This window comes from Homo sapiens, chromosome 7 (genome assembly GCF_000001405.40).
Source record: "Homo sapiens chromosome 7, GRCh38.p14 Primary Assembly".
Lineage (NCBI taxonomy): Eukaryota > Metazoa > Chordata > Mammalia > Primates > Hominidae > Homo > Homo sapiens.
In genome coordinates this window covers 6,128,565-6,152,637 of record NC_000007.14, presented here as the reverse complement: position 1 = coordinate 6,152,637, position 24,073 = coordinate 6,128,565, and the positions used below count along the sequence as shown (strand labels likewise).

Below are 24,073 nucleotides of genomic sequence, written 5' to 3'. Positions count from 1 at the left end.
CCGAGGGAGCGAGTGTCCAAGCTGGCCTATCCTTAGGTTGGGAATGAGTGTTCCCTGCCCACAGGGTTCGCCCCATTCCGGTTTAATATCTACGCCCTCCTAACAGAGGGCCTCAGTGAGGGCACTCCCACCCGCCGGGGGCCATTCTGGGGTTGCCACAGTGATGGGAGCCCCGCCAGCATGAACAGCACCCCCACAGGTGAGTGCCAACAACCGTGCGGGTAAAAACTACGGGTGTGTCACTGGCACGGTTTTCACTGACACTGACGTTTCCAGGAAGGCACCCAGTATATAAATCTAGAGTCGCTCATGCTGTGATTTGATCAGAACTTCACCAGAAGTTGTTCGCCATGAGAACACGACTTCCTGATGATGAACCCGCGCCTGGCACCGAGTATGGTGACATCCGGCCGCACTCTGAGCTGTCACTCACAGCCAACCTGTGCAGAGATGCAAGCACCGCCTGCACAGCCTCTCGCCACGGGGCCGTCCTGCTGCTGCTTTGCGAGGTGAAGCCACTGACGCTGCATGACAAATTCCCTTCCTCTCACTCCTGACCAACGTTACATTCACATTCTTCACTAACATGACATGATTTTTTTTTTAAATTGTGGGGCAGGTTTTATTATCTATAATTTCAGAATCCTTGAAGGGCCTTTACAAAGTACAGTCATGTACCTCATACATACGGTCAACAACAGACCACATATGATGGCGGTCCATAAGATCACAACATAGCTGAAAACTCCCGTCACTGTAACAGTCCAAGGGCAACGCGTGCCTCGTGAGTGTGGTGATGCTGGTGTAAACAAACCCACTGCACTGCCAGTCCCATGGAAGTCTAGCACATACGATTAGTACATAATACATGACAATGGCAATAAACGACTCTGCTGGCCGGGCACGGTGGCTCACGTCTGGAATCCCAGCCCTTTGGGAGGCCACAGCGGGTGGATGAGTTGAGGTCAGGAGTTTGAGACCAGCCTGACCAACATGGTAAAACCCTGTCTCTACTAAAAATACAAAAAAAAAATTAGCTGGGTGGGGTGGCGCATGCCTGTAGTCCCAGCTACTCAGGAGGCTGAGTCAGGAGAATTGCTTGAACTTGGGAGGCGGAGGCTGCAGTGAGCTGAGATCGCACCACTGTACTCCAGCCTGGTGACACAGCGAGACTCCGTCTCAAACAAAAAAACAAACAAAAAAAGAAGTTATTTTTGTACAGCTGTATGTTTGTGTTTTAAGCTAAGTGTTATTACAAAAGAGTCAAACAGTTTAAAATTAAAAGTCTATAAAGTAAAAAAGTTACAGTAAGCTAAGGTGTGTTTACTATTGAAGAAATCAATTTTTTTAACAAATTGAGTGCGGCTGAAGTGTGCAGTGTTTCCAGAGTCTACAGTAGTGTACCGTCCCAGGCCTCCACATTCACTCAGCACTCACTCACTGGCTCACCCAGAGCACCCTCCAGTCCTGCCAGCTCCATTCATGGTAAGTGCCCTGTGCAGGTGTGCCAGTTTTCCTCTTATACCATATTTTTACTGTCCCTTTTCTATGTTTAGATACACAAATACCACTGTATTACAGCTGCCTACGGGATCCAGTGCAGTCACAGGCTGTGCAGGTTTGTGGCCTAGGAGCCGCAGGACACACCATCTAGGTCTGTGTGACACACTGTGGTGCTGGCATGACAACCACATCCCCAAACGATGCATTTCTCAGAAGGCATCCCTGTTGTGGACGGACGGATGTCTGTATGTGCTTCTTCACAGGACTGAGAGCCCTGGCCTAGACCCTCAGCACACCCTCACATCATCATTTCTCATGAGAAAGATGAAATGAGATGGCACTTGAAGGCGTGCCAGTAACACCGCTAACCAGAGAGAGGTGGCCACGCAGGAGGAGAAATAGCATGGTGAGTACATCAAGTTTCCGTGGACTCAGTCCTGTATGCCACATTTTTTCTTTACTCTTCTAAAAGGCAAGTTAATAAATCCTATACATTATAATTCAAATCATTCTAGGATTCAAAATGTTCATTATAAAATTTCTACAGCATTCAAATACTGACACATCTGGAGGCTACTGGATTTCCTACTATGCTGCCACACGTGCCTCAGATGTACTCTTACGTTACCTCATTTCATCCGTCGAGCCTTTCAGTTTGTTGCTAAGCCTGAAGGTCTCTAAGATTTTGTCTTCTGGGAGAGACAGCAAAGGAGCAGGCATCAACTGCAATAAAAACAAAAATATTTCAGCTTCAGTCGCCAGCTCCATGCCTCCTGAAATCCAGCCAAGGGAACCGCCACAAACGAGGCTGAAGACCCTGACGTGCACTCACCTTTCCAGGAAGACCGTTTGCCTTAGCAAAGGGATTTTCTGAGTGCAGGGCAGGCTGGCCTTGGCAGCTGGCACCATCAGGCGCTAGGCCGTTTTCTTTCGGGTCACTGTCGCTGTCTGCACTATTAGCACCGTTTAGGGTCATGGGTTCTTGAAGCTCGTGCGGAGTGGCCTCCTCATCTTCGGCATCTTGGCCGGGAGAGTGGGAGCTCACAATCGTACCAATCCCATTCTCCTTGCCCAGCCCCTTTGACTCCTCGTCAGAGTCCTCAGAGGACTCGGCGCCATAGGGCACCAGCACGCTGGAGTTCAGCTTGGATTTGCCATTCATCACGGGCTGGGAGCAGGATTCACTGCGGGGGATCGGTTTTGTTACTTTACTAGAAACTGACATCGTAGATGCGTTCGAGGTAGACTGTACTGCAGAATTGGTAATGGTAGAAGAGGGAACGGGCTTGGTAGGGTTCTCCAAAGAATTACTATGAAGGTTAGGTTGAGACTGACACTGGCGAACAGGCAACTTGTTGTGAATACTGATTGTAATTTTTTGTTTCTTAGGATGTTCTGGGATCACTGAGGACCTATTAACTGACCAGTTTTGGACAGAAGCTGAAGCATTAACAGGACTAGCCCTGTTGACACTGGAATTCCCGTTAGGACTCGACATGGAACTGCTTGGCGTGTCTTTCAATGGTCCAGTCCCATTTAAGTGAGGTGGATTCTGGAAGTAAGCAGAGCGCACCTGGTCAGAGCTCCAGAAACATGGTCACACAAACAGAACCCATTTTGGCTGATGGGTCCTTCCCATTTTGCTTTTTTTTTTTTTCAGGACTAACAAGTTTCATACACCTGGAAATGTTCTCTGTTTTTCTCAATCCCTCCTACCCGCGCATACTTTCCACAGGCCCTAGTTTTCTGGCAATAAATCAACAAACAGGACATACATGTTTCACAGAAAACAATCCTCCGACCAAACTCGTTCTGTCCCAGATCTGATCGAAATCAGCAGGACCTGTGGCATGGAGTCACACACTTGCTACCTGGTTGGGTTTCCTGGGAGCTCGCTGATGCAGAGTGCCAGGAAGGAGGAATCACCCTCGCCTCGGAGCAAAGGAGACGGTCACGTGGGCGGAGAGTAGGGGCTGCTTCAGCCGCCACTCACTCAGCCATGACCCCACCACTGCCCCACAACGTCTCCACATTCTCCTCACGCAGTGAGACTCGCTGCAGGTTCCCCCATGGCTGCTGCACCCCCGTGGAGGCGCAGGCGTGAAAGTCAGTTAACAGATCACGTGTGGCCTTCCCAGCGTCTCCTCACATACCTGAATTAGCTGCCATCCTAACACTGGAAAGCTTCATGGTAAAAACAAAAACAGGCTTTGGAAAAGCAATGCCAACCACCCCTTCCTACAGGGCACATGCCCTCCTGTTTGCCAGAGTCCTGATGTCACTCTGGAGCAGAGCCCAAAAGGGGAGCCCGCTGGGCATTTGATGTGTGACTCTGTTATACCTCAAATATACTGCCTGATGTCCATAAAATAAAGCATGCAGCTAGACCGTGTGTGTGATCATCCAAAACAAACTCAAGTCGAAAAGCTGTGAAGATGCCACAGCTCAGATGAGGCCCCCACTCTAGAATCCTGTGTTCCTTGTGACACTAGCTCACTACTGTTCGCCCCGACAGGACCAACAGGGAGTAAAATCAAACCCAGGGGGAGAGCAGACAGAAACACCACACCCCTGAAACGACTAAATGGACCTAACAAACGTGTTCTTGTAAACAGATCGCTTTCCTGCAATCCGACAGGAATTAAAGAATCTCCAAGTGTTTAACCCTTTGAGAAGAATGGAAGTCCAGAGGGGACCTAAAATTTAAAGGTGCTGACACCCAGGCTTTCCTCTTTCCTCCCCATTGGTGAGGTTTGCTGTATATTTTGGGGTTTTTGTTTTTTTGGGGGGTTATTTTGGAGACGGGGTCTCACTCTGTTGCCCAGGCTGGAGTGCAGTGGTGCAATCTCAGCTCACTGCAACCTCTGCCTCCTGGGCTCAAGTGATCCTCCTGCCTCAGCCTCCTGAGCAGCTGGGACCACAGCACACACCACCATACCCGGCTGATACTTGTATTTTTTGTGGAGACGGGGTTTCACCCTGGTACCCAGGGTGGTCTCAAACAACTGAGCTCAAATGATCCACCTGTCTCGGCCTCCCAAAGTGCTGGGATTACAAGCTTGAGCCACTGCGCTCGGCCGTTTTCTGTATATTTGAAATACTGTGTAAGAGGGTTTGATTAAACTGTGAGAAGAAATTCAGATGTATTTGAGGACACAGCAACCACTACAATTCAACTTGAGAGTTTGAAGTTACATTTTAAAAATTAACATAAAAATGTTCTTCTCCCTAAGGACTGTTACCTTTATCATGTGAGAGGGAAGCTGTGGTCCGATAAAGCCTGGCGCAGCCTGTTTGTTGGTGACAACCCGCTGACTGATGACGGGGCGGGGAGAGGACTGGCCGGGGCTATGGGTGGGATGAGTAAGTTCACCTCCATTTTTCACATCATGGGACCTGGAAACAAGGAGAGCGATACTTAGGGTGACACAGGACACCTCCTTAGGAGAGATTCATTTACAAAGTCAACAGCATTTAACCCCTCAGGCGGAAACCTGATGAAAAAAATAGCATGTTTATGCTACACAGTATGGAGCTATACACATCCCCTCCTTCAGGCTAATGTCAGGCACTCAGATCAGGAGACAACAAGGATAACTGGGTAAATGACGTTCTTTAAACTGTGTTTTCTGAAGATGCTGTTTCATCTGAAAGGTATTTCTTTTCTGTTTATTTATATTTTCCTTTTTTTGAGACAGGGTCTTGCTGCGTCGCCCAGGCTGGACTGCAGAGGAACAGCCATTGCTCACTGTGGCCTTGCCCTCCTGCCTCAGCCTCCTGAGTAGCTGGGACCACAGACATGCACCACCACGCCTGGCTCATTTTTTTATTTTCTGTAGAAATGGGGTCTCGCTTTGTTGCCCAGGCTTATATTTTTCTAATTATAAATATATGCCACTGTGGAAAATCTAGTGTCCAAAAAAGTTAGAAACAAAATCCTACCCCTCAACTTGGCCTGAGGCCTCCTCTGATCATCATCTGTGCTTCAGCCCAACTGCCGAAATCCAATGCCAGTGTTTAATATTTCAATGTGCAGACATGAGCATTCTGCCAGTTGGACATTTGAGAATATTCTTGATTTTCAGCTATCAAACATTTTTTCCAAAAATGGAGCGAGTGAGTGAGTGAAAAGCGTATGCAGCCACAACAGGACAGAGCTGGGTGCGGGTGCTGGCCTTGGCCTGGAAGGCAACTGACCTGTGCTCCAGGTTGGGAGGTGCTGGCTGTGACCACGCCAGGTGCTCAGAGGTCCCTTCCTGAGGTCTCCACTCATTGTCCTGTGGCTCCTGGCCCACTCCATTACTGCCCGCAGCAGAAGCCCACCCTTGTCAGCCACCACCTCTCCCTGCAGCTGCACCTTCAGTGCTCATGGCCACAGAGTGCGATGCGGAGCAAACTCATCATCCCGCTCAGACACTACCTTTCTTACTCTCCAGGCACATGGCAGAGTTGATGGTTTTTGGTTTTTTTTTGAGACAGTCTTGCTCTGTCACTCAGGCTGGAATGCAGTGGCTCAATCATGGCTTACTGCAGCCTCGGCCTCCCCAGGCTCAGGTAATCCTCCCACCTCAACTTTCGGAGCAGATAAGACCACAGGCCCACAACACCACACCTGGCTAATTTTTTCGTATTTTGTAGACATGTGGTCTCACTATGTTGCCCAGGCTGGTCGGTCTCGAACTCCTGGGCTCAAGTGATCCTTCCATCTTGGCCGCCCAAAGTGCTAGGATTATAGGCGTGAGGCACCATGCCCAGGCTAGAGTTGATCTTTAAGCTGCTGGGTTTTTTTTTTTTTTTAAAACACTGAATATTGAATTCAAACATGTTGATAAGACAAGAAGAAATGACATACCAGAAAATCTGGCAATTTGTTTTCATGACAATACCTGATATAAAAGAGCACATAGGCTTGTTGGCTGAGTACCGATCTAATATCACTGGTAGATACAATGGAGTCATTCATTTGATACCAGAGGCCATTGCTAGCCTATAAATGAGAGCCAATAAAAGAGAGAGATTAGATTTAATTAAACATGGAACATAGTCAAGAGAAATATTTCTTTCTTTTTTTTTGAGATGGAGTCTCACTCTGTCACCCAGGCTGGAGTGCAGTGGCGTGATCTTGCAATCTCCACCTCCTGGGTTCAAGCGATTCTCCTGCCTCAGCCTCCGGAGCTGCTGGGATTACTGGCAGGTGCCACCACACGCAGATAATTTTTGTATTTTTAATAGAGGCGGGGTTTCACCCTGTTGGCCAGGTTGGTCTTGAACTCCTGACCTCAAGTGATCCCCCAGCCTCAGTCTCCCAAAGTGTAGGGATTACAGGAGTAAGCCACTGCGCCCGGCCAAGAGAAATATTTTTACCTCGGGTATTCACATTTTAACTGTAAAAGTTCCACCTCTCCCTACCCCAAGAATGCTACTGCTGTCTTATAGCATGTATGTAACAATAGTTAATAGCAAATCTGCACAGCTTACTTTTATGTAGCAGAAGTAATGGCCAGCATGGCAATTAAAACCAGTGTGGACCAGCACTGCATACAAGACGTAGACAATTGGCTCTCCGTTGGGTTGAGACATATATGGCCGAATATCAAGATACTCAGGGTATTTCACATCCTAGAAGGAAATGGAAACAGGAGAAACATTTCCGAGGGCACAGATCATTCCACATATTCAGGTAGAGGGTACTTAGAGCTTCCTAGGAGGGGAGACCCACAGAACACCTGAGCCCTGTGATATTCTAGCAAAAACCTAATGCATTTAAAAAACCTAGTGCATTTAGCCATCTTTTTTTTTTTTTTGAGATGGCGTGCCACTCTATCACCCAGGCTGGAGTGCAGTGACACGATCTCAGCTCACTGGAAGCTCCGCCTCCCGGGTTCAAGTGATTGTCCTGCCTCAGCCTCCCGAGTAGCCGGGATTACAGGTGCGCCACCACGCCCAGCTAATTTTTGTATTTTTAGTAGAGACAGGGGTTTCACCATCTTGGCTAGGCTGGTCTTGAACGCCTGACCTCGTGATCCACCCAGCTTGGCCTCCCAAAGTGCTAGAATTATAGGCATGAGCCACTGCACCTGGCCTAGCCACCTTTCAAAGGGCATGGTTAACCGGGAGGATAGCGGAATCTAAGTGTATTTAAGGCCATCCTGCTGCATTTATTATTTTCTTTTAACAAGTCAGGATCTATATTAAGTGAATTCTTCAAACCCATCAAAGGACAGACTAACAAAATGACAACTCTGAACATAATTTTTTTTTTTTTGAGACAGAATCTGACTCTGTTGCCCAGGCTGGAGTGCAGTGGCACAATCTCGGCTCACTGCAACCTCTGCCTCCTAGGTTCAAGCGATTCTCCTGCCTCAGCCTCCCGAGTAGCTAGGATTACAAGTGCCTGCCACCACACCCAGCTAATTTTAGTATTTTTAGTAGAAACAGGGCTTTGCCACGTTCGCCAGAGTGGTCTCAAACTCCCGGCTTGAAGTGATATGCCCAACTAGGCCTTCTAAAGTGCTGGGATTACGGGCGTGAGCCACCACACTCGGCCGATTATTTAATTTTAATAATTCAGGAATGGATCGTTTATTTCTCTTGCATGCTATTTAGTTTTTGACCACTTTCAATCTTCAGAAAGTGGGAAGAAAATGGGAAAATTCAGTGTACTACCAATCAGAAAACAAACAAACAAGACAAAATGAACTTTGGTGAAAACTGGCAAAGTCTAGCAGGAAGTCCTCTTTGGATTTCAGATTATACAGGCTCTCCCTGTATCCCCTCACAACCACGGGTACCAACAAAACAGACAATGAAGCCCAAATGTAGGTAATAGTTAGCAATTTTGTCATGAGAAAGTCGAGTCCTTAATCCTTAATAGCTACAGACACGTTAAGCTTCGAAAGGCTCGACATAAAACATGATTAATGACATCATCCACATACCTTAGCAATTTTTCCACCGGTAAAATTTGCAAAACGTTTCAGAGAAAGTGTAAGAACATTAGAGGATCTATGGATAGTGAACCTCTTTGAAGCTGGAACCATCTTTTTACACCTTGAAACAAACAGAAACAAAAGTATAAGAAGACGAATATATACACACAATTTGTGGTATTTTGGTCTTTCTTGTTACTATTCTCAAACATTACATATTAAGGTTCCAAAAAGGACACTGGATGAGAACCACCAGCCTTCAACCAACAGTGAAAATATTAACATTAAAAATACAGGGGGAAACTGCTTAATTAGCATGAAAGGAAAGGAAGTTAGGACAATTCTGAAAAACCAAGCCACGCAAGCCACCAATAATGTTAAAATTAGGTTAACACAACTTCCTCTCAATTCAAAAGAAACTGAAAAACGAACATGTTCAGACTGGTATAATTATGTGAAAATATGTCTTAAATTCATCTAATTTAAAAATAATAATAATTATTATATGAAAAGAGAGCCCTAACCAGAAACAAAAGGAATAAAAATAAATATTAGAAATGTCTGTGGAATTTAAAACAAAGGCAAAATCCCTCTGGTCTTGAAGATTTGACAATAAAAAAATTACTTCTATTACCTGACCACAAAGTGGAAATCTACTTAAAAACATACAAAAGAGCTTTCTTAAAATAGGCACTCTTGACTTCATGTGGAAACATATTAATGAATGATCAAAATTAGAGTTTTTCAGCAAATGCTATCCCAAACCCTGGGAACCCACCCTAAGAGAGAAGGAGCCTCCCTATCCCAGAAGAAAGTGACTCCCCACCCGACGGCAGCCCTCTTATCATAAGAAAGTCAATGAAAATGCTATTTGGCAGACAGTGCGTGCCCAGCCACACCTGAAGCAGCACTACCATGGGGTGCAAAGACAATTTTACCTCTCTCCTCCCACCGAATCTGCCCAATAATGTCATGCCCCAGGCTTTCACAGGCACAGAGCTGCGCATCTTGCAGAAACACACACATCAAGACACTCCGGGCTCTCGCCTTTGGACGACAGGGACGCAGTGTCTTCCCAGAGGGTATCAGAAACTCAAGCAACCTAGACACACCAAACTCTCTCAAACCAAGCCTGCCGGCCATCCCCACTGGAGAAGCCGGCATCAAGAATCAAGTCACCACCCAACGTACTTGCTGCACTTGTACGAGTTTTCTCCATCAAGCTGTTCCGGCTTCACAAACTGCTCCAATGCCTTGTTGACACTCTGAGCAGCCTGGGAAGAGAAGAGGCACAAACACCACATCACCGCACACCGTCACTTGTGTTTGGGTCTTGCCCTGCCACCCAGGCTGGAGTGCAGTGGCACAATCACAGCTCACTGCAGCCTCGACCTCCTGGGCTCAAGCAATCCTCTCACCTCAGCCTCCCGAGCAGCTAAACCACAGGCATGGCCACCATGCCCAGCTAAATTTTTCATTTTTTTGTAGAGACAGGGGTCTCACTATATTCCCCCAGGCTGGTCTCAAACTCCTGGGCTCAAGCGATCCTCCCACCTCGACCTCCCAAACTGTTAGGATTACAGGTATGAGCTGTCATGCCCAGCCGTGCCCCTTATTTTTTAAAAGAAGGAACAGAAGACTCAAAGATATAACAGCAAATGAAAATTTTTATGTAAAAAGAAAATTTTCCGGGCGGGCGTGGTGGCTCACGCCTGTAATCCCAGCACGTTGGGAGGCCAAGGCAGGCAGATCATGAGGTCAGGAGATCCAGACCATCCTGGCTAACATGGTAAAACCCCGTCTCTACTAAAAATACAAAAAATTAGCAGGGCACAGTGGCACGCGCCTGTAGTCCCAGCTACTTGGGAGGTTGAGGCAGAAGAATCGCCTGAACCCAGGAGGTGGAGGTTGCAGTGAGCCGAGATCGAGCCACTGCACTCTAGCCTGGGTGACAGAGCAGGACTCCGTCTCAAAAAAAAAAAAAGAAAAAAGAAACAAAATTTTCATTTAGTAGTATGATGTTCACTTTTATAAATCTACATACCAAATTATATCCTCTCCCATTTAAAAATGAGCAGAATTAAAGTGAACAAAAATATAGAGGATGCTCACTGCAGCAATACATAAAACTGGAAGCAAACCAAATATCCACCAGCAAGGAATTCGGCACAGGAATTACAGTCTATCCATTCACTGCACCACACACTGCCCAGAGAGCACGCTCACACAGAAAGGTCTCAACAGAATTACACGGAACAGTGAGTGGCCAGACAGACATCAGACACAATCTCATTTATATAAAAAGTGAACAATACATTCTGGAGCAGTACATATCAAACTGTTAAAAATAATGCATTCAAAAGGAAAGGATTTTACATATATCTGCAACGTTACTCATTTTTATCATAAGCATGTATTACATCTGTAATCAGAAAAATGCAAGCTCAAAAACAACAAAAAAATTAGGAATTCAGAAAATGCAAGAGGCAGGCTGGGCACAGTCGCTGTAGTCCCAGCTACTAGGGAGGCTGAGACAGGGGAAATGCTTGAACCCTGGAGGTGGAGGATGCAGTGAGCTGATATTGCGCCACTGCACTCCAGCCTGGGCAATGGAGCAAGACTCCATCTCAAAAAAAAAAAATAATAATAACCAACTGTACTTGGCTAATATAGAAAATCTAGTTTTATTAAGATATTAAATGAAAATTCAGGCCGGGCGCGGTGGCTCACGCCTGTAATCCCAGCACTTTGGGAGGTGGGCAGATCACGAGGTCAAGAGTTCAAGACCATCCTGGCCGATAGGTGAAACCCCATCTCTACTAAAAATACAAAAATTAGCTGGGCATGGTGGCACATGCACCTATAGTCCCACCTACTCGGGAGGCTGAGGCAGAAGAATTGCTTGAACTCGGGAGGTGGAGGTTGCAGTGAGCCGAGATCACGCCACTGCATGCCAGCCTGGGTGACAGAGTGCAATTCCATCTCAAAAAAAAAAAAAAAAAAAGAAAAGAAAAAGAAAATTCAAAGAGTAATAAAAAAACTTTAAAAGCTTTTTTATGATGCTTACTACAAAGCTTGAATAATTCCTCCAAATGAAATCTTAGCATATTGAATTTTTCAATTTATATTCTCTAACAAGTAGTCTAAATTATAAATGAACTACAGTTACATAAAATGACTTATTTTAAAAATGTAATTACTCCCATAATTATGAAATTTACCTTTATCTCCAATGTTATATCAAGATATGGATCAAAAGTATCTGAAACGCCCTTGCAATTTAAACATTTGACTGAAATAAAAATAAAATGCAAAAGATGAGCAAAGTATAATCATTACAGCAACATCAACTACTGAAATGACAAAATACAATTTTGAAATTTAAAATTTTTTAACTGTAATTTTTCTATCAATTGAACAAAAAAAGTTTTAAATTAATACTACTCATAATATGGGTGAAAAGTGTAATGAATTTGGCCCCTCATATACTATTGATTAGAATCAAAACTGGTATACCCTCTTAGAAGACAACCTGACAGAATTAAAATTTACAATACACACTCCCTGTGATCCAGAAATTCTAATACTAAGAATTCATCCTACATATACATTTTTACCCAGACATAAAGCATGTGTGCACGGATGCTCCATGAACAACAACAAAACACAAACAACCTAAATCCCATCGATAGGGGACTAAAATAAATGGAACACTACTCCAACTGTCGAAGGCTGTTAGGCCTGTGTGCTGAAATGTAAAAGACTGCTAATACGAAGAGACAAATGGAAGCAGTGCACACAGTATGCTCCCAGTTTATTCATGCACAGGAAACTACCAGGAGGATTTACTACAACCTGGCACCGAGGCTGCCTCTGGGTAAAAGGAATGAGAATCTGGGCTGGAGAGAAGCACTTTTCCTTCCTTCCTAGTAGGACTAACCCTGTCCTACTATTACCATTTTTTAACCACATGTGTGTATCATTTTATCAACTTATAAGCAAAAGCTTACCTCTAGATCTTAGGTATCCTCCAAATATCTGACAAACAAGAGTGGTGGCCTGGGTGTGTCTGTCTAATCTGAAAAACGTTGAACAGTGACATGAGAGAAGAGCTTTGCAAAAACTCCAGATGCTGTGACCAGATTTCAAACACATGGGAGCTCACAAAAGATCAAGAATTCAAACAGGACAGCCATGGAAAATAAAAGGATGGCACGTGTGGCAGCCCAAGAGCATCCCTTCCTGGCCAGAACACAGGGAGGTCTGGGAGTGGCGGGAGGAGACGCAGAGCTGTGGGAGCTGTGTCTGTCAGGAAGGGACTCGGGAAGCAAGGCAGGAGTCTGGTCCTGAAGCAGGAAGATGGCAGCCTCCGGGCACTGCGGCCTGTGTGGGAGGAAAGGGAGCGGAGGCGGAAAAGGCAGAGAGTCTTCCTCCGACCCAAGTATGTCATCACCCGGACAATGAAGTCCTAGACAGGGCGGTGCCAGGGCAGGGAGAATGCAGAGGGAGATCTACCAGGTGTCTCAGACAGCACCAAGCGGCTTGGGATGCATTATCTGTCCCCTCGTTCTTCCTCTTGAGTCTGCATTTAGATTTTAAGGAACTAGCTACAAGAATCAGTAACTGATTGGGGTGGGGGTTCAGGAAATAAACACAGGCTGGAGGGCAGCAGAGAAAAGAAAATGTCAGGCACAACTAGAAAGGAGAAGCAGCTAGTTTGAGATCTGCAGACGTCTGCTGATAATGAGAAATTAAATAGCTGCAAGACCAATGTTTATTTCCTGACATCTATGATTGAGCCAACTCAAACTGTTACGTAAGACACACGTGTAAATTTCAACCATTTTAAAATAATGCACATCACCTAAGGAAGAGGCAGAGCAAAGCCAAAAGGTAAAGTGAACACTGTTCTGTGTGCTTCCAACAAAAAAGGTGAAAATGAATTCTGATAAGAATAAACTACAACCAGAGATCCCCAATGAAGACATGGCTGGCGCTCTGTTGTACTTACTTATTGCTGCCATTCAAGCATGCTTTCTGCATAGCATCAACAGTGTATTGAAGGAATTCATGGGCATCTTCTTGGTTTCCAAAACGGAAGTGCCTAGCTATACCTGTAAAATTTCGGTAAAGACAAGGCTTTATCATTACACGTAATAAGCCTAAGTTGTACCCCCCAAAATATATCTTATAATAATATGTTGGTTGGAAAACTCCCAAATACTTACTTTATGAGGAAATAGCACTAACATAAGCCACTAATATAAGCTATAAGCAGGATCAGGCCCTTTAGACTAGAATCCCCAACCGTTTGGGCACCAGGGACTGGTTTCACGGAAGACCATTTTTCCACAGACCAGAAGAGGGGGTTGGGATGAAATTGTTCCAGCTCAGATCATCAGGCATGAGATTCTCCTAAGGAGCATGGAACCTGGATCCCATGCACACACAGTTCACAATAGGGTTGGCGCTGCTATGAGAATCTAATGCTGCCATTGATCTGACAGGAGGCGGAGCTCAGGTGGGGATGCTCACCTGCTGCTCACCTCCTGCTGTGCAGCCCAGTTCCTAACAGGCCACATTGGGTACCAGTCTACGGCCCAGGGGTTAGGGACCCCTGCTTTACACCATTAAAAGTCCACAGCAGCTAGAGTTTCTGAGAGTCTAGAGAGTAGCTACAGAGTGACTCATGTTTCTAGCAAGTTAATAAAGTTACACTTGAATAAACTGGCTGTTTTGTCTCAAGTTTGTCCAAAATGCTATGCTGGTGATTTTAAATTGGTGCTACATCTCTATAATACAGAATCCATTCAAAATATAAATCTCCCAACCTATCTAATTCTATCCCAATGACCTACAGAAGAAATTATATTTGCAGGTGCACAGAAACATTTCAGTCCTGTTTCTAATTGATTAAACAGCTAAAAGACCAAATTATTTTTTAAATTACAATAAAAAATTAACACAAAAGTATAAGCAATATCACACTAAAACATATATACTGAATTTTACATGTGTATGAATGTATAAAAATGTTCTAGCTTAAATCACATGAAACTGCCAACACTCCACCAGTTTAGACCTACAAACGTGACAACTTCATGACTGAACCATGTGTGTATCAGTGGATACACACACACACAGAGCAATGACATTTTCTTAAAAGACTAGGTTTAAAAATGTTAGTCATGTCTGCTATATAAATATGTATAAAAATAAATATATGTGGTCGGGCGTGGTGGCTCACACCTGTAATTCCAACACTTTGGGAGGCAGAGGCGGGTGGATCATGAGGTCAGGATATCGAGGCCATCCTGGCTAACATGGTGAAACCCCATCTCTACTAAAAATACAAAAATTAGCCAGGGGTAGTGGCAAGCACCTGTAGTCCCAGCTACTCAGGAGGCTGACGCAGGAGAAATCGCTGGAATCCGAGAGGCGGAGGTTGCAGTGAGCCAAGACTGCACCACTGCACTCCAGCCTAGGCGACAGAGTGAGACTCCATCTCAAAAATAAATGAATAAAAACAAATAAATACATGTATAAATAGCCAGGCATGGTGGCTCACGTCTGTAATCTCTGCACTTTGGGAGGCCAAGACGGGTGGATCACCTGAGGTCAGGAGTTCAAGGCCAGCCTGGCCAACATGGTGAAACCCCGTCTCTACTAAAACTACAAAATTAGCCAGGTGTGGTGGTACACGTCTGTAATCCCAGCTACTTGGGAGGCTGAGGCAGAAGAATCACTTGAACCTGAGAGGCAGAGGTTGTAGTGAGCCAAGATCGTGCCACTGCACTCCAGGCTTGGGGACAGAGCGAGACTCCATCTCAAATGAATGGATGAATGAATGCATGCATGCATGTGTAAACAATCCAAACCTGCCTGGCTAAATTTTGCCAGGCTTCAACAATATTTCAAAGGTTTTTGGCTTGTCTGTTGTGGTCTATCAATAATGCCAAGGGCCAATATAAGACCTCTTTAATCTTCAGTGGCTTTCTAGGCAAAAAGATTACAGTTTGTTACTGTATAATTACACATCCCTATAATTACCCAGTTAGATGCCAGATTAAGAGTTATAGTTTTGTTTGTATGCATTTTTTATTCCAACTCAATTAACAAGATGCAAAAGTTTACTGCAAAAACACACAGAATGTAAGAAAATTTCATGCACTTACCCATTTAAAATTCAAAAATTAAATAGAAAAAAGTAAAATTTATCCACCAATTTGCTAAGCTCTGAGTATATATTCTTTTAAGACTGTAATTAAGTTGGGCATAGTGGTGCACATCTGTAATCCCAGCTACTCAACTGGGGCAAGAGGATCACTTGAGCCAGGAGTTCAAGACTAGCCTGGGCAAAACAGTGAGACACAGTCTCACTTGAAAAAAAAAAAAAAGAAGAACCGAAAAAAGAGAATTAACCTTATTTATTTCTTATTTTATTTTTACTGCTGCTTGCAGAGCAGGGCTAATCCACAGGCAGTGTGTCCAGAGTAGCCTAATTAACTTTATTTTGACAATTTCTGTCACTGCGTATAGTAAAGTATTCATTCACCAAACTGAAACTAATTAAAAACTGTTTACAAAAACCTGTGAGACAATATCAGAATTAGTATTACTCAGCATAGAAATCCAAGTTTCAGAGCAAAGACACTATAAAACTTACCAATTATTTTAACATATTGATTTTTAATAGTTTAAAATTTGTTATATTAAATTGAATAGTCTTTAATATATTGTCATCTTTTGCTTTAAAGTTTCAAAATGTGTTTATATAGCAAATGTTTTACTAAAAATTTGTTATCAAAGACATAGCCACGTACGACAAAATGTATTTGTTTTCTAATACATGACGGGTTCGGTTTTTTTCACCAGTTGGACATTAAGAATAACTAGGTAATAGGCCAGGCATGGTGGCTCACGCCTGTAATCCCAGCACTTTGGGAGGCGGAGGCAGGTGGATCAACTGAGGTCAGGAGTTTGAGACCAGCCTGACCAACATGGAGAAACCCCATCTGTACTAAAAGTACAAAATTAGCCTGGCATAGTGGTACACGCCTGTGATCTCAGCTACTCGAGAGGCTGAGACAGGACAATCGTTTGAACCTGGGAGGTGGAAGCTGCAGTGAGCCGAAATAGCGCCACTACATTCCAGCCTAGGCGACAGAGCAAGACTCTGTCTCGAAAAAAAAAAAAAAAAAAAGTATAACTAGGTAATAAATACAAATATAAAACTACAATAGTTAATACTTACGCCGCATCTCATTGATGACAAACATTGGTTTAATAACGTCCCCAGGATTACTGAGTGCCTGGGTAATATGTGCTTGCATTGTACACATCATACAAAAGCCTTCTGCATGACCTGAAAGATAGATGATAATCCTCCAAATTAGCAAAATACAACCATATACACACATCAAGGCTAATTACAAATCAGGGGCACACACCTGAAATGAAATAATAGCTGCTATATGCATGCCTTGAGCTATCTACTTTTATGCATTTTCATTTACTTTTTTTTGTTCTTTTTTTTTTTTTTTTTTTTTTTTTTGAGATGGAGTCTCACTCTGTCACCCAGGCTGGAGTGCAGTGGTGTGACCCTGGCTCACTGCAACCTCGGCCTCCCCGGGTCCAAGCCATTTGCCTGCCTCAGCCTCCCAAGTAGCTGGGACTACTACATGCGCCACCATGCCTGGCTAATTTTTTTTTGTATTTTTAGTAGAGATGGGGTTTCACCATGTTAGCCAGGCTGGCCTCGAAATCCTGACCTCAGGCAATCCACCCACCTTGGCCTCCCAAAGTGCTGGGATTATAGGTGTAAGCCACCACCCCAGCCTCATTTACTTTTCTAACAAACCTAAGTGATAAGTATATATTAGCTCTCTTTCACAAGAAAGGAAAAAAGCTCAGAGAGTTTAAAAGTTTGCCCAATGTCAAAGAGTTATTATGGGACAGACACATAATTGGATTCAAATCATACTCTTTCAAATTTGAAAGCCAGTGCTCCTAGCTACTCTCTATACAGGAAAAGCAAGGTTTTTCCCCTCACACCACTATTTATCTCAAACACTAAAAGAAAGTCTCCCACAGCAGGGATGAGACATCACTGTGGAAGCCAGGCGCCATGGCTCATGCCTATCATCTCAGCACTCTGGGAAGCTGAGGTGGGTGCATCTCTTGGGGCCAAGAGTTTGAGACTAGCCTGGGCAACATGGTCAAACCCTGTCTCTACAAAAAATAAAAAGAAAATTAGCCCAGTGTGGTGGCACAAGCCTGTAATCTCAGCTACCCAGGAGGCCGAGGCAGGAGGATCACCTGATCCCAGGGAGGCTGAGGCTGCAGTAAGCTGTGATCACACCACTGCACTACAGCCTGGGCAACAGAGCGAGACCCTGTCTCAAAAAAACAAAGAAAGAAAAGAAAAAAGAAAATAATCTCTGTGTAAATACTCTGGCGTTGCTGGCCACAGATGGTGGTCTCTATGGCATATCTTTTTTGACAACTTTCTAAAAATGTAAAAATCATTCTTAGCGCATGCTAAGTGATGCTGCAGCATCTAGTGGGGAGAAGCCAGGGATGCCGCTCAACAGCCTCGAATGCACCGGACAGCCCCTCCCAGCAAAGAGTCACCCAAAGTGTTGGCAGCACCGAGGCTGAGGAGCTGCCTGACTAAAGGCTACCCAGACGCACCTAATAACGCTTAAAACAAAAGGATCAAGCTATTCCCAATTAACTCTGTCTTGCAATAAAGCTCAAAAATATTTTTTAAAGAAATACAAAAATCCCAGCACCCAATAACATAAAATTCATTCTGTCTGGCATCCAATCAAACAGTACAAGGCACGCAAAGATGCAGAAATGACCGGTAACAAGGAGAAAATAAACAGAAAAAGACCCAGAAATAACACAGAAAATATAATCAGAAGACAATAACTTTAAAAAGGATATTACAAATATATTCCTATGTTCAAGGAAATGAAAAATGGAAGAATACATTAAGAAGAAACATGGTGGCTGAGCCTGGTGGCTCATACCTGTAATCCCAGCACTTTGGGAAGCTAAGGAGGGCAGATCACGAGGTCAGGAGATCGAGACGATCCTGGCTAACACAGTGAAACCCCGTCTCTACTAAAGATACAAAAAAATTAGCTGGGCGTGGTGGTGGGCACCTGTAGTCCCAGCTACTCGGGAGGCTGAGGCAAGAGAATGGCGTGAACCCAGGAAGCAGAGCTTGCAGTGAGCTGAGATGGCACCACTGCACTCCAGCCTGGGCGACAGAGCAAGACGCTGTCTCAAAAAAAAAAAAAAAAAGAAGAAGAAACATGGAAATAGATGCAAATCTGCTTATACACATGAAGAGTACAATCTCTGGGATGAAAAATGCACCAGGTGCGGTGGCTTACGCCTGTCATCCCAGTGCTTCGGGAGGCTGAGGCAGGCGGACCACTTGAGCCCAGGAGTTTGACACCAGCCTGGGCAACACAGAAAAACCCCATCTCTACTAAAAATACAAAAATTAGCCAGGTGTGGTGGCACGTGCTTGTAGTCTCAGCTACTCCAGAGGCTGATGTGGGATGGGAGGACCACCTGAGCCCAGCAGTTGGAGGCTGCAGTAAGCTATGATAGCACCACTGCACTCCAGCCTGGGTGACAGAGTAAGATCCTGTCTCAAAAAAATAAAAACAAACAACAATAACAAAAACACCAGATGTAATTAATAACAGATTAGACACCACAGAAGAAAAGATTAGTGAACTTGAAGATATTCATTATGGGTAGAAAATATCCATAATAAAACACAGAGAGAGAAAATCTCAAAATAACAACAACAACACAGCATACCAGTAAGCTATGGGACAATTTTAAGTTGCCCCTGATATACATCATTAGAGTCTGAAGGTAAAAGGACAGCATAAATATTTCAAGAAATAACAATTATCTACAAACGAAAAGCACAAAGGAGGTTTTTGGGAAGAGGCATGGTTTCGTACCCTGACTGAGCTGTCAGTTCACATGAGTCTATATTAATATTCAAAAGATCTTACACCAAAAAAGTTATTAAGTTTTCAAAAGTCACTGAAAGTTGTCCAAATTTGACAGAAATAATACATGTACAGATCTAAGAACCTCAACAAATTCCAGGAGTAGAAACATGAAGAAAACTACACAAAGGACCCCTACTTACAACCAGTGATAAAAATCTTAAAAGCACTGGAGATAAAAACAGTGCTGGGCCGGGCGCAGTGGCTCACGCCTGTAATCCCAGCACTTTGGGAGACCAAGATGGGCAGATCACAAGGTAGAAGATCGAGACCATCCTGGCTAACACGGTGAAACCCCGTCTCTACTAAAAATACAAAAAAATTAGCCGGGTGTGGTGGCACGCACCTGTGGTCCCAGCTACTCAGGAGGCTGAGGCAGGAGAATGGCGTGAACCCGGGAGGCGGAGGTTGCAGTGAGCCGAGATCTCGACGCTGCACTCCAGCCTGGGCAACAGAGCAAAACTCCGTCTCAAAAAACAAACAAACAAACAAAACATTACATAGGCTGGCTTGGTGGCTCATGCCTGTAATCCCAGCATTCTGTGAGGCTGAGGCGGGTAGATCACTTGAGGTCAGGAGTTTGAGACCAGCCTGGCTAACATGGTGAAACCCTGTCTCTACTAAAAATCCAAAAAATTACCTGGGCATGGTGGTGTGCGCCTGTAACCCCAGCTACTCAGGAGGCTGAGACAGGAGAATCACTTGAACCTGGGAGGCAGAGGTTGCAGTGAGCTGAGATCGCAACACTGCACTCCAGCCTGGGCCACGGAGTGAAACTCAGTCTCAAAAAAACACAAGAAACAAAACAAAAACAAAAGCAAAAAATCATTATGTATATAGGAACAAAGGTAAAAACGACAACAGACTTCTTATCAGGCACAGCACAGGCCAGAAGACAGTGGAATAATATCTTTCAAGTATTAAAAGAAAAAGAACGGGCCAGGTGTGGTGGCTGCCCTGTAATCTCAGCACTTTGGGAAGCCAAGGCGGGTGGATCGCTTGAGCCTAGGAGTTCGAGACCAGCCTGGCCAAAATGGCCAAAATCCTGTCTCTACAAAAAATTAGCCAGGCATGGTGGTGAACGCCTGTAGTCCCAGCTATTCAGGAAGTTGAGGTGGGAGGATTACTTGAGCCCAAGAGGTTGAGGCTGCAATGAGCTATAATCACACCACTGCACTCTAGCCTGGGTGAGAGTGACAGCCTGTCTCAAAAAAGACAAATAATGTTAACATAGAATTCTACACCCCATGAGAATATCATTCAAAAACAAACATGAGACTTGCACTTCTGGGAGACGGAATAGAGGTAGTTTTCTATTCCTCCTGCCAAGTACAACAAATCCTGACCATTGTGTATAAAATGAACCTTAAAAGGCTGTGAAAGGTAGAAAGAGAAAGAGACATGCTACGGACCTCAAGACCCAAGGAAGACATGGTGGTGAGTTTCCTGGGGTTTCTTTGTGCTTCTTCTAGTCCAGACTTAGAGCTAAAGTCAGCAACCTGGAAGCCCCAACAACTGCAGGCAACCAAGCCCAGCAAAATCCCGCTCCCACTCTCTCCAGCCAAAGGATGAGGAAGGGGCAGCCTCGTGTGACAGAAACCTTTAGAAATCATTGCTCTACTTCAGCTTCTGTGTGTATTTTTTTCTGTATATTATGATGTTTGTTTTTGTTTGGTTTGTTTTTTTTGAGACAGCATCTCACTCTGTCACCCAGGCTGGAGTGCAGTGGCGGGATCACGGCTCACTGCAGCCTCTACCTCCCAAGGCTCAGGTGATCTCCCCACCCGTCTCTCGAGTAGCTGGGATTACAGGCATGCACCACCATACCCGGCTAATGTTTGTATTTCAGTAGAGACAGGGTTTCACCATGTTGGCCAGGCTGGTCTCGGACTCCTGGGCTCAAGTGATCCACCCTCCTCTGCCTCCCAAACTGCTGGAATTGTAAGAATTATTATGATGTTTTGACATCCTAAAGATCTTTCTGGCTGGGGAGAGGCTGCCCCTCAGGCTAGCCAATTCTTAGAGGTAGCAAAGGGCTCAGCGTTCGTGCAAGCCTTTGCTATACACACTAACCAATCCAGAGCCCTTCCTTCTCCATCCACCTGCCTGTGCACCCCAGGAGGCAAAACTCCTCTGCCCTAATCATCTCAGGGCCAGGTGCCAGGCAACTCTGGACCACACCTGTGGCTCAGAGCCCACAAAAATTATTCAAACCAGCCAATCCCAAATTCTTCCCCCTGCCCTACCCTGCTTTTCCCACGGAAACCTCAACGAAGGCTCTGGCCAATAATGCCTTCCCCTTGCTCCTGTCTTCTGCTTCCTCACCACATGGCCCTGCATGGTGTGCCCTGTGAGCATAAAATCTTTGTCTTCCTGAGCCTCTCTTGTGTCTCCTCTTGTGGCTGCCCCTGAGCAACCATCTCATAAAAGAATACAAAAGACATTAAAACATCACAGAAGAACTATGGCCTCACCTCCACCCACACCAGAAAAGGCAAGTAAACAGCCTTGACTTACACTCAACAGGCTGTAGCAAGGCACCCTAACCCATACTGGGTTAACGGTGGAGAAGGCTGACTAGGAGCTGGGACTTGCAACCATACTGGATGAACAAACCCTGTCCCACCCCACGTTGTGACAATCATGTGGGGAGCCCAGATTTCCACCCACCCAGTAGTAAAAAGCCACCTCTAAACTCTGCCACCACTATGGCCTCCCCAGCCCCCGGTGAGGGTCAGAGGCAGGACTGTCACCATCACTCAGTGGTAACAAAACCACTCCCACTGCAGTGTCCGTGGAGACCATGTGGGGAGCAGGAACTTCCACTTCCACCCAGCAGGGACAACGATCCCCAATTCCCACCTGGGGTGCCAACGGAGGCTGAGTGGGGAATGTGGGCTTCTACTCCATCTGACATCACTTCCTCTGCCAGAGCAGTGTCAGAGCAAGTTGGCTAAAACAAAGGTTAGATAAGACTCAGTGTCTTATAAGATAACACCAAAATATCCATGGCCAGGCGCGGGGGCTCATGCCTACAATTCTAGCACTTTCGGAGGTCGACGCAAGAGGACTGCTTGAGCCCAGGAGGTGGGAGCTGCAGTGAGCCATGATTACACCACTGCACTCCAGCCTGGACAACAAAGTAAGACCCTGACTCAAAAAACAAAATTGTTTTAAAATCCAGCTTTCAACTGAAAATCACTCATCATACTGAGAACTAAGAATTTCTCAAACAAAAATTATAACATTGTCTGATATGGTTCTAAATGTATATAAAAGAAACCTTTTTTTTTTTTTTTTGAGACAGAGTCTCACTCTGTCACCCAGGCTGGAGTACAATGGCATGATCTTGGCTCACTGAAACCTCTGCCTCCTGGGTTCAAGTGATTCTCTTGCCTCAGCCTCCCAAGTAGCTAGGATTAGAGGTGTGCACCACCACACCTGGCTAATTTTTGTATTTTTAGTAGAGACAGGGTTTCACCATGTTGGCCAGGCTGGTCTTGAATCCCTGACCTCAGGTAATCCGCCCGCCTCGGCCTCCCAAAGTGCTGGGATTACAGGCATGAGCCACCGCGCCTCGTCCTTTTTTTTTTTTTTTTTTCCTGAGGCAGAGCCTCACTTTGTCACCCAGCCTGGAGTGCAGTAGCACAATCTTGGCTCACCACAACTTCCACCTCCTGGATTCAAACAATTCTCCTTCCTCAGCCTCCCGAATAGCTGGGATTACAGGCGCCCGCCACCATGCCTGGCTAATCTTTTGTATTTTTAGTAGAGATGGGGTTTCGCCATGTTGGCCAGGCTGGTCTCAAACTCCTGACCTCAGGTGATCCACCTGCCTCGGCTTCCCAAAATGCTGGGATTACAGGCATGAGCCACCACGCCTGGCCTAGAAGAAACATTTTATAACAATTATAACTAGTGGAGAGTAAAGGACATAGGGAAGTAATGTTTCTATACGTCCCTCAAACTAGTAAAATGACAATACCAGTAAACCGTGGTAAAAGTTATGTGTGTGTAAATGTGGTCCCTAAAAGTGACCACTAAAAAGGCTACAGGCCCAGTGGCACACGCCTGTAATCCCAGCATTGTGTGAGCCTGAGGTGGGCGGATGGCCTGAGCCCAGGAGTTTGAGACCAGCCTGGGCAACATGGTGAAACCCTGTCTCTACAAAAATTAGCCAGGCATGGTCGCGCACAGCTGTAGTCCAAGCCACTTGCGGGGCTGAGGCAGGAGGATCATTTGAGGTTGGGAGACTGAGGCTGTAGTGAGCTGAGATGGTGCAACCACACTCCAGCCTAGGTGACAGAGAGACCCTGTCCACGACCCACCCCCAAAAAAGAAAGAAAGACTCAAGTAAAGCAAAATGATGTAATTTTGAAAAACACTTTCAAGTATTCAAATAACCCACAGAGAAGCAAGAAAACACAGACATATAAAAAAGAACAGAACAAAAAACAAAACATTAAATGGCAGAATAAGCCTTAAGTCTTAAAATATCAATAATCACCTTAAAAGTCAATGTTCTAAATAAATGAGGGTGAAGGACACCCAGCCTAGAGCAGCAGAGAGTTAAAAGACACAGACTCACAAAATGGA

The 24,073-nt window shown here is 45.0% G+C and overlaps 1 protein-coding gene across 19 annotated transcripts in view, besides 1 other annotated feature; it reads right to left on the bottom strand.

Moving 5' to 3' along the window:
* The window catches only part of USP42 (ubiquitin specific peptidase 42), an 80,324-nt gene that overhangs the window by 8,927 nt on the left and 47,324 nt on the right, over positions 1-24,073 (bottom strand). For 18 of the 19 annotated variants that reach the window (XM_047420940.1, XM_047420938.1, XM_024446969.2 and 15 more), the window contains 11 exons: positions 16,687-16,797; positions 13,444-13,546; positions 12,443-12,510; positions 11,654-11,724; positions 9,624-9,706; positions 8,442-8,553; positions 6,982-7,122; positions 6,390-6,490; positions 4,746-4,899; positions 2,336-3,055; positions 2,132-2,226 (listed from right to left, as the gene is read on the bottom strand). In XM_047420940.1, coding sequence (XP_047276896.1) covers positions 2,132-2,226; positions 2,336-3,055; positions 4,746-4,899; positions 6,390-6,490; positions 6,982-7,122; positions 8,442-8,553; positions 9,624-9,706; positions 11,654-11,724; positions 12,443-12,510; positions 13,444-13,546; positions 16,687-16,797 — 1,759 coding nt within the window. Of the gene's footprint in view, positions 1-2,131; positions 2,227-2,335; positions 3,056-4,745; positions 4,900-6,389; positions 6,491-6,981; positions 7,123-8,441; positions 8,554-9,623; positions 9,707-11,653; positions 11,725-12,442; positions 12,511-13,443; positions 13,547-16,686; positions 16,798-22,339; positions 22,431-24,073 lie in introns of all 19 variants that reach the window. The other variant, XM_047420943.1, reaches the window with a different exon arrangement.
* Positions 1,940-3,139: an enhancer, noted in NCBI's record as "CDK7 strongly-dependent group 2 enhancer chr7:6189130-6190329 (GRCh37/hg19 assembly coordinates)". NCBI's record gives its function as "activates an origin of replication core promoter dependent on BRD2, BRD4, P300/CBP, MED14 and CDK7 cofactors, with strong dependence on CDK7, by STARR-seq in HCT116 cells {active_cell/tissue: HCT116}" and the evidence as "EXISTENCE:reporter gene assay evidence [ECO:0000049][PMID:35650434]".